This window comes from Homo sapiens, chromosome 18 (assembly GCF_000001405.40).
Source record: "Homo sapiens chromosome 18, GRCh38.p14 Primary Assembly".
NCBI lineage: Eukaryota > Metazoa > Chordata > Mammalia > Primates > Hominidae > Homo > Homo sapiens.
This window is the reverse complement of record NC_000018.10, coordinates 31,069,762-31,080,777: the sequence shown is the minus strand read 5'-3', so window position 1 is coordinate 31,080,777 and position 11,016 is coordinate 31,069,762. Positions and strand designations below refer to the sequence as shown.

General features: G+C 36.8%; 1 protein-coding gene and 1 pseudogene across 4 annotated transcripts in view; one reads left to right on the top strand and one right to left on the bottom strand.

Moving 5' to 3' along the window:
• The window catches only part of DSC2 (desmocollin 2), a 43,582-nt gene that overhangs the window by 21,644 nt on the left and 10,922 nt on the right, over window positions 1–11,016 (top strand). For all 4 annotated transcript variants that reach the window (NM_024422.6, NM_004949.5, NM_001406506.1 and 1 more), the window contains exons 10-14: window positions 426–682; window positions 789–931; window positions 5,871–6,095; window positions 8,937–9,173; window positions 9,928–10,052. In NM_024422.6, coding sequence (NP_077740.1) covers window positions 426–682; window positions 789–931; window positions 5,871–6,095; window positions 8,937–9,173; window positions 9,928–10,052 — 987 coding nt within the window. The remainder of the gene's footprint in view (window positions 1–425; window positions 683–788; window positions 932–5,870; window positions 6,096–8,936; window positions 9,174–9,927; window positions 10,053–11,016) is intronic.
• Window positions 8,171–8,283, bottom strand: LOC124904377 (uncharacterized; annotated as a pseudogene).

Genomic DNA, 11,016 nt, shown 5'->3' with positions numbered 1-11,016 from the left:
GCTGTGTAGGAGGCATGACTAGGTAGGCCTCAGGAAACTTATAATCATGGCGGAAGGCAAAGGGGAAGCAAGCCCATCTTCACATGGCAACAGGAGAGACAGAGCAAAGGGGGATGTGCTACACACTTTTGAACAACCAGATCTTGTGAGAACTCACTCACTATCATGAGCAGTGGGGAAATCCACCCCCATGATCCAATCACCTTCCCTCAGGTCCCTCCCCCAACATTGGGAATTACAATTTGACATGAGATGTGGGTGGCGACACAGAGCCAAACCATATCACTGGATATATGTTTCATATTCTCGTGGTTATTCCCAACATGACACTTAACATATTTCCAAATTTAACATTATATATACTCGTTAGCATTGCCAAATATTAAATGAGTTCATCTGATTTTTCAATACATTTGCTTTCGTAGCCTTTGAATTATGAAGAAAAGCAACAGATGATCTTGCAAATTGGTGTAGTTAATGAAGCTCCATTTTCCAGAGAGGCTAGTCCAAGATCAGCCATGAGCACAGCAACAGTTACTGTTAATGTAGAAGATCAGGATGAGGGCCCTGAGTGTAACCCTCCAATACAGACTGTTCGCATGAAAGAAAATGCAGAAGTGGGAACAACAAGCAATGGATATAAAGCATATGACCCAGAAACAAGAAGTAGCAGTGGCATAAGGTACTTACCATTCTATTTTAGTTTTAAAATATATAGCTTATTTTGTTACGTTATTATAATTTAGCATATGATAAATTTTATTATTTTAATTCATCATTACCAACAGGTATAAGAAATTAACTGATCCAACAGGGTGGGTCACCATTGATGAAAATACAGGATCAATCAAAGTTTTCAGAAGCCTGGATAGAGAGGCAGAGACCATCAAAAATGGCATATATAATATTACAGTCCTTGCATCAGACCAAGGTAAGAATTTGTCTTTAAGCCAGCTACATACTTCCTTGGCTACATACATCTTCAGTGTTTAAGCCAACAGTATACATTTTAAAGCTGGATACATGCACTCTGTTTTCATATCTCTTGATAATATAAAGTAAGAGGTTTACTATAATTTATTAACTCATGTCTGCTTTCTAATAGCCTTCTCAGTTTTAGATGTAATTATAAAATAATTTACTCTTAGAAACACTTGAGACCATAATTTATTAAAGTTAAAATTATTAAAAATTGAGAAAATTATTTTAGTAAAACTTGTTTCAGCTGGGTGTGGTGGCTCATGCCTGTAATCCCAGCACTTTGGGAGGCTAAGGCTGGAGGATCACTTGAGGTCATGAGTTCGAGACCAGCCTGGCCAACATGGTGAAATCCCGTCTCTACCAAAAATATTAAAAATTAGCTGGGTGTAGTGGCATGCACCTGTAATCCGAGCTACTCGGGAGGCTGAGGCAGGAGAATTGCTTGAACCCAGGAGGTGGAGGTTGCAGTTAGCCAAGATCGCGCCACTGCACTCTAGCCTGGGCGACAGAGTAAGACTCTGTCTCAAAACAAAAACAAAAACAAAAACAAAACAAAAACAAAAACAAAACTTGTTTCAGTTTATCTACTTATTTCGCTTAAAGTGTTCACTTTGTAGGAAAGTGAGAACATACTTACATAGTGCAGTCCTGGAAAACATACTTACACAGTGCAGTCCTGGAAAACAGCTCTAACTTTTTACAGGAAGCTAACAATATACTTGGGGGTTAGAATTCTGATTAAAGACATTATATAAAAATAAATCATGGTATATTTATGATCATGGTAAATAAATAGTATATTATAAAATTAGAGAGACAAACACTATGAATTCATATAATCATATAAAATGTAAAATTATGTTCTGTGCATTCTATAAAATTGAGAGAAATATGAGTATGATGATTATTTATGAGACGCGTTTGGTGCATAAAATATAATTTCTATAACATGAATTTGAACTTTATGTCTTTGTAAAATAAATATGCTAAATATAACAAACAAATTATTATACTATAACTTGCAAAATTAGAATTTAGAAGTGATTTTGGAAGATGATTTATGTATTCCAGTTCTCTGTAAATTAATGAGAAATGACTCAGTTTGTTAAATTGCTGAAGTTGTAATCATTATTGATTTGTCTTTAACTAATTAAAGACTGTCCTTTAAGGCCTCAGATTCTCATGTCTTTTTGCCAAGAAATACTTGTTGGTCAAAGGCAAATGAAAAGAAAAAAAAAACATGAAACTCAACGGCACTTGGAAATAGTTTATTGACAGTTGAGATAAAAATTGCTGTCTGAAATTAGAAATTTTGCCTATAATTTTATTCTACATTCTCGTCTGTTGCAGAGGAGTTTAAGTGATTGAGAGATCAAATATTTGTTATGGAATTGAGATGGGGCACTGCTTATCATCATTGTGATATAGAATAAATGTGTAATGAGGCTGTTCGCATTCATTTCTTTTGAAGAGGGTGGGAGTCATTGTGTTACTCTGTGTGAGAGAACTGTGAATCAGTAATTCCACATGTGTTTACTTTGTGAATTGAATGAAATGAGATTATACAAAAGTGTGTCATTTTTTGAAAAACCTTTTTCTAAAATCTATACTGGCTAATTTCATTTGGGTTCTCCCTGCCACTCCCTAATGGAAACCTCTCCTCCCTCATGGATACTGCTGTCTTGGGCTGGTGCTCACTTCCTGCCTTCCTACATCTCCGCAGCAATTGCTTCCTCTTTTTAAAACTCTCTCTCAAGGCTTCTATGTCTAAACTTGCCCACACATTCCTGCATGCTTTCTGGTCTTAACTGCCTTCCCCTCTCCTAAACATATATATTTCTTAAGCTTTAAATTCAATTTATCTTTTCTTCTTAACTTCTTAATCTAAATTGTGTGGGCAGCTTTACCCAGAAATCACCTCTATCTAGTTGAGCTTGAGATTAATGTTTCTATTGTATTATTCCAGCTGTTAGAATGGGGTTACTTGCAACTATTTTAAAACATTTGACTGAAGAGCATCATGCACATAAAGCATGAAACCATGGATAGTGCACCTCATGTGACTTCATATTTGGAATTAGCCTTTGTCCATGTAGAATTATATTATTACTAGAAGATGAGCATTTTATGCTGACATTCCAATGAATAAAACAGTATGTATAACTCATCAGCATATGAAAAACAGCTATGAAACACAGTGGATTAGATATCTGAGGTCTTAAATGTTCTTCTATGACAGTATTAATCACAATGTGCAAAAAAAGATTGGAGTTTAATCAGTGAGCAACTGTAAACATCTACTGGAAGGAAATTGAAGCATTTATCCCAGTTGTAGAAGAGCAAGCACTATAGAGTTCAGTTTTTAAAGATAGCACAATTAACCAGATTCAATAGGTAAGGCATGTGCTCTCAATTGTGTGTGTGGACTCAAAGGGAAACAAATGTTCAAGACAACCAGCAGTCCCAATTTTCAGAGAGAGCAAGGTAACACCACATAGCATGAGAACAGGAGAAGTTGAGGGACAGAAATTATTCTGCTCTAATGAATAGAAACATATGCCAGATACATGAAATATATATTATCCACCTGCTTCCTTTTTCTAATGTAAATACTCTTTTTCAAAGTTGTCCAAAAATGGAAGGTAGTTGCGTTGTTTCCTGCTTCTCATTGTTTTCTCTCCTAGCTCTTTTTTCTTCTTGCTGAAGTACATCCTTTACTATATTTTTTTCAATTGTGGAATGTGAATTTTAAACTCTCTCAGTTTTGTTGTTCTGAAAAATATTTTAATATTGGCCTCATACTTAAGTGACACTTTGACTTGGTTTAAAATTCTGAGTCAACAGCTTCTTTCCCATGGCACTGTGCAGCTATTAACCCATTATCTTCTGGTATCTCTTCTTGCTGATGCTTCTTGTTCTGTCGATTAACGATTGTCCTTTTGTAGTTAATATATTTAGGTAGCTTTTATAGTACCCTAAATTGAGTTCTACAGTGTTAGTACAATGTGTATGCCGTGGATTTTTTTATATTTGTCTAGTTCTGCAGTCAGAAAATACTTTCAATCTGAAAAGCCATGTTTTTCTTTAATTCTGGAGTATTCTCAGCTATTAATCTCTTTAACTATTGCTTCTCTGCCATTCTGTCTATTCTCTTTTTTAGAATCCCTGGTAGGTAAATGTTGCTGTTTATTTTCTACTGGAATTTGAGCTGTAATTTCATTCTTGTTTAATTGGTTACCCCTCTTTATGTCTTTGAAGATTCTAAACATACCTGTTTCAGAGACGTCTTGGATAGAATGAATTAATCTTTTGACTGGTGCTTTTGTTGGTTTTCCTTCTTAGTGTTAATCTTGATTATTTGGGAATTTTAGTTTGCAGGCTTATATTAAATGAGAGGTGTTTGCTTTGCTTTCTGTTTTTGTTTTTTCCCTCTCTCCCACTTTGCCCATATTAACTACTAGTCTTGTAGTTGCCTTCACCTGCTCTTTCTCTGTGGCCCACGGTTTAGAACCAGTTCTTAACTTGGTGGCCTAGTGCTCCTGACCCATGATGACGCTGGCTCTATCACGAGTCTAGTTGCTGTGCTGCAGGTGCTCTGGCTGAGGTTGTGACTTCAGGGATGTGCTCGGAGATCTTCCCGAGCTTGGCAGCTTCATATAAGACACAGCCCCAGGCAGTGGATGGCACAGGGTTTTTAAATTCTGTTTTCCACCTGTAATGTCAAAAGCCTTCTTTTTAAACAGAAAGAATGAATGATTTAGAGACAGAACTCCTGGGTTTGTGTTCAGTTTCAGACTTCACAACTGCATTACTAATCTGTGGCGTGGGTCCATGGCTGTTTCATCTTTGAATCCCCCAGATTTTCCAGTGCAGTGCTTTATATAAAGTCGTCATCCTGTAAGTTTCTTTCTTTCTTTTCTTTTCTTTTCTTTCTTTTTTTCGTTTTGAGATGGAGTTTCACTTTTGTTGTCCAGGCTGGAGTGCAATGGTGTGATCTCCGCTCACTGCAACCTCCGCCTCCCGGGTTCAAGCGATTCTCTTGCCTCAACCTCCCGAGTAGCTGATATTATAGGCATGTGCCACCATGCCTGGCTAATTTTGTATTTTTAGTAGAGATAGGCTTTCTCCATGTTGGTCAGGCTGGTCTCGAACTCCTGACCTCAGGTGATCTGCCCACCTCGGCTTCCCAAAGTGCTGGGATTACAGGCGTGAGCCACTGTGCCCCGTCTATCCTGTAAGTTTCTATTGAATATACAGATAGATGAATTACTTAGGCTACAACCCACAGTGATTATTTCAGTTTTCAAGTAATTTTCTACTCCTGGAGTCTTCTGCCCTTTGAATATTCCCATGTACTATTTTTGTTACAATCTTTCAAATATGTAACTTCAGTTTCTTTGCTCCAAAACCTAAGTGCTACCTATTTATCCAACAAACTCTAAGCTCCCTAGTCTGGCTTTCAAAGACCCTTAGCTCCTGCTTCCATGTCAGTTTCTACCTGTCTACCTTCCCTGTCATTGTCTCCAGATCACGGGTGTGTATAACGTGCGTTTCCATCTCCTTGAATTTCCTTGTGCTTTTAAATATACCAGAAGTGTCCTCATTCATACTCTCTTCCTTCCTCTTCTCACAAATCAGCCAAAACTTGCCTCTAATAATAATTTAGCGAATGAATAAACACATCTTAATAGCAGTCATTGTTTGTACAACCCATATGAAAGTAATACTATTTTTCTTGTAACATTCCCTGAGGACATAGCTTGTGACTGCTTGTCATTGTAACTTCTACATTATAGGTGCTTAATAAATATTTTTCAATGTGTTCAGTGCATACTTTTGTGGTGAAAACTCAAAACATAGAAAAACTATTTTTATTTTCATTTTTCTAGGAGGGAGAACATGTACGGGGACACTGGGCATTATACTTCAAGACGTGAATGATAACAGCCCATTCATACCTAAAAAGACAGTGATCATCTGCAAACCCACCATGTCATCTGCGGAGATTGTTGCGGTTGATCCTGATGAGCCTATCCATGGCCCACCCTTTGACTTTAGTCTGGAGAGTTCTACTTCAGAAGTACAGAGAATGTGGAGACTGAAAGCAATTAATGGTATATATTTTTGAAAATTGCTTTGTCCTTTTCAACATCAGGATGTCTGCGATACTTTTTTTTTTTTGTATGAAATAGGAGAAAATTCACCATGTGGGAAACACCAATGAAAGTTTCTCAGTTTTTGTGTGTTGGGAGTAGGTCTCTCTAGTGTGTCTCTAATCCTATGCCGAGATTCCCTTAGGTGTGTTGTGAATTCTCCCTCCTACTCCAAACACACACACACACACACACACACACACACACACACACACACACACATTTTTTCTCTTTCTCTCTTTCTCTCTCTTAGACTTGGTCTAATGCAGTCATTTCCTAACTTGTGTACCTCTCACTGGCATAGATTTCTTTATAGTTTCCTGGGTCATAAGGGAGTCCTCATTTGTTACTGGTTGGCTCTCCAGAAAGCAGACCCTGAGGCAGGGCATCTCAAGCAGAATGATGACTAAGGAATTTGCTTGGGATCAGTAGCTTTGAAAGGAGGAGAAGTAGGATTGGGCAAAAAGAGAAGTCAAGCTGCAGCACAAGCCAAATGACAACCTCAGTGAACCCCAGGGGGAGTCTGAGCTAAATGGGCCTTCAGAGTGGTCCTGAATCGATCCCCTATTCTCTCTTATTGTTCCATCAGTGTATGTGGGCTGCCCATGGCAAAAAGGCACAATCCCGGAAGGTGCTGATGGCCTCCCAAGCAGCTGGGATGCAAGTCCTTCTTTGAAAAGGGATCAGATATACACCACAGTGTCCACCACGTTATCTCTCCTCTCTGCCACTGTATTGACTTCTGACTATTTCATGTCTATTGTATTCTCCTTGGGATTCTCCCCTAACTCGGTTCCCCATGTGTACTTTTGTCTTTAGCCCAGAAGGATCTACAGTGATAAGTATGGCAAAAATGAAGGCAACCTGTCTACATTATCACCACTGCCTCATTCCCTAGTTGGCGCGTAACTCTTCAGCATGTTCCCCATCTCCTGCTCACACTGCCTATGGACCATGATGTCATGGTCTACCAGCTTTCGTGACTCTAGAACCACTGAATGAGGCTTGCTTTTTAAATGCCCTTGAATGTTTTTCAGCCCCATGCTTTCAGTGAATATCCCTCAATTTCCTGTTATGACAAATTAGAAAAGAAAGGTTATGAGGGAACGTAAAGGGAGAACAGGATGGGGAAAAGAAAGATGAAGACTTATAGAAATAAGCTAAACTACTATGTCTTGGATCCTGCTCTGTGAACTAACAAGATTTTCAGCTTTCTAAACAATATTCTGTTGTGTGTGCGTGTGTGTGTGTGTGTGTGTGTGTGTGTGTGCGTGTGTGTGTATCGGGGTTATCAGTTTATTTTGGGGTGGGGAGGAAGAATTAACTTTATTCTTAGATTTTTTTCTTTTCTACTTATTTGGTGTCATGATATTAATTTTTAAATAGTGTTGATAGAAAGTGGACATTTTTTTTTCCCAATAGTCTTACTTAGCAAAATAAAACTTTGGCAGCTGTATGTTTGTCAACATCTTTGTTATTTTAAAGATGTACTTGTCTGAGTAATCACTTATAAGCTTGGGAAACACCCAAGTTTTAAGAAGAATATACCCTAAAGAGGCTTTGAAGTCAGTTAAGCTTAGTGTCAAAAACGCTGGTTCTTCCCTGTTTGTTAGTTAAGTAAATCTGACCGTGCTATTTATTGTCTTTGAGCATCAATTTACTAAAATGGGATTTTTGGGGGAGTAAATGAGATAATGCATGTAATACACCATGACACATTAGGAATTATAAGTTTTGGTTTTGCTAGTCTCATTATAATTTTTTACAAAATAGACTTAACAGGTTAACCATGGCTTCTCTTAAGATGGACTTAATTCAATGTGTTTTTACCCAAGCATTCAAATTTGTATTTAGAGCTTCAAATACTATGCAGAAAATGAGAATGTCATACTGGGCAGCTATGTGGGAGAGGGATTATTCTATGGGACCTGGTATCTGCATTTAGAGTAGTAGTATATCTAGTCTCCAAAACCAAGATTGTATTGGCTTCTAAATTTTTTTTAGTTTTTTATTGTTTTTTTCTTCTTCTAAATTCAAGTCATACAGGTAATGTACTGTTGTCGTAATAAGGTTTGAGAGACGTGTGTCTCACACATGAGCATAAAAACCCTATCATCATGCTTATGCACCATAAAAGCCATAAAAGAATCTGTATGGGCTTTCGGTTCTAGATATTTTCTAGCCTTTATCTAAGAAAACTACATCAAAACTAAGACACGTGCAGTTGGTCCCTTTGTCCTTTAGGACCAGGAGATGCAGCTGCAGCTGTGTGACTCATGACCTGCTAATGTAGTCACTGTCAGGGGTGTTTTAAGTTGTCAGAATTAGTCTCTGACAGTAAGTCACAAGTATTTATGTTTATTTGGCACAATTTTTGAAAATGAAGTAAAGGAAAACATCCAGAATTTCAGACTATTACTTCGATGAAGCATGTGTAAAAGAAAATGTACACTCACTGGTTTAATTAAATATTTTCAAGATATGGTAAAAACTAATCTATTAACAAGTCTATTAGTTGTGATAGGAAGGATTTGTTTACACACAAATAAAATATATTATTACAAGAGCCAAAAGACTTTGTTTAAGAGGCAGCATAGACAAACTTTTATATGTAATATGTTTGCAATGGGTATAGATTAGAACTACTCTAGCCATTCACATTTAGAATCTTCTAGCAGCTATGCCATCCCATCAGGAATATCTGTTTCTAGGAAAATATAACTATCTGATAATGAGTTATTTATGTTCAGAAGAAATCAGTGACATTGTATAATGTTTGGTTTTATTTATTTATATTTTCAGATACAGCAGCACGTCTTTCCTATCAGAATGATCCTCCATTTGGCTCATATGTAGTACCTATAACAGTGAGAGATAGACTTGGCATGTCTAGTGTCACTTCATTGGATGTTACACTGTGTGACTGCATTACCGAAAATGACTGCACACATCGTGTAGATCCAAGGATTGGCGGTGGAGGAGTACAACTTGGAAAGTGGGCCATCCTTGCAATATTGTTGGGCATAGCATTGCTCTTTTGTAAGTCTTAAGTCCTTTCTTGAATTCAAATAATACCCTTTAAAGTAACTTTCAAGACACTTTTTGTTTTTTGAGACAGAGCCCAGGCTGGAGTGCAGTAGTGTGATCTCCGCTCACTGCAGACTCTGCCTCTGGATTCCAGTGATTCTTATGCCTCAGCCTCCCGAGTAGCTGGGATTACAGGTGTGCGCCACAATGCCCAGCTAATTTTTTCTACTTTTAGTAGAGATGGATTTCACTGTGTTGGCCAGGCCAGTCTCTATCTCCTGGCCTCAAGTGATCCCCCCACCTCGGCCTCTCAAAGTGCTGGGATTACAGGCGTGAGTCAACACACCTGGCAACTTTCAAGACACATTCTAAGAATCAGTGCTATTTCCTATAGCTGATCATTTGCATGTAGCTGTATTTTTATTTAATATATAAATATATTTAATTTACATATTTTAAGTGCATTTATGTATAGTTCTAGTGTCTTAGTTATTATAGACATAAAATTCAATGTAGAAACAGAACATGTAACATAATTATAGCATATCTGTTTAAAAGTTTAAGTAGATATGCTATTTAAACTTTTAAATAGCATATCTATTTAAACTTTTCTATTGTATACTGCTTTGACACAAGCAATCCAGGAAAGCTGTCTTCTTTTAATATACACTTTTAAGTTTATGATTTATGTGTGTATTAACCATTGTACATTTATAACTTCATATTATTTTATGATAAACTCAAGTATATTTCTTTCTTCCTCCAGGCATCCTGTTTACGCTGGTCTGTGGGGCTTCTGGGACGTCTAAACAACCAAAAGTAATTCCTGATGATTTAGCCCAGCAGAACCTAATTGTATCAAACACAGAAGCTCCTGGAGATGACAAAGTGGTAAGTAGTCTGGCTTTTTAAATAAATACAAAGGATGAATTCGCTTATAATGCGTATTCCTTCTAAAATGATCTTTTCTCAGAAAAGTTCTTTTGGTATCAGGCAATTTACCATAGAATGTCATGGGTCCCCTGAAACAGATAAAATGACTTTGATTTACATGATGATATATGGTATTTAAATTTGGCCGTAGTGTGTTACTTAATAGTAAAAATGCTTGAGTATGTCATTGTTATTTTTACTTCAGATGATTCATGGTTTCAACTTTAAGCCTTGTCTTTTGTATATATTTCAACTGCTGTTTGTGCTGTAAAAATGCTGCTTTTAATTATTCACGGTTTACCAACATGGTTTTACATTTTCTGGCAACAATAAAATCACTACAAGCCTTGATCATCGTGGGAAGAACTTTAATAGATTCTTTCTGGCTCTAATATGGGTTAGGAAACAGCCTGAGGCCAAATATATGAAATAGCAATGCTAGCAAGTGGTCATTTCTCCAACTTTGCTTTCTAGCTCAATATGTGGAAAAGGAACAAGTAAATACCCTATAAGAAGTGTAATTGATGACTAGGGCAAGAAAGATTTAGAAAACAAAAGCATGACAGTATCCAGGAAGGTAATGAAAAAATAAAATTTAAATAATATTAGAGTTTCCAAAAATGCAACATAAATAACTAGTGGCCAAAGCTTTGGTGTTCTTGTTATTTTCCCTGCCTAGTTTATTCATATATATTTAGATGGCAAGGGTTTAATGTTGCAGTTAAGATTTTTATGGCAATTATAGTTTTATTCTTTTTGATTTAGTTGAAGTATAACTGAATTAGATACTAAATGGAAATATTGATCATTACTTCTGTTTCTGCTTTAGTCAGGTAAAAGGGAATTAATTTAAACTAAGCAGAGTAAGTATATGTGAGACAACAGTGTTTATTTTGAGGTGTGAGATGTAGGAAGGATTGAA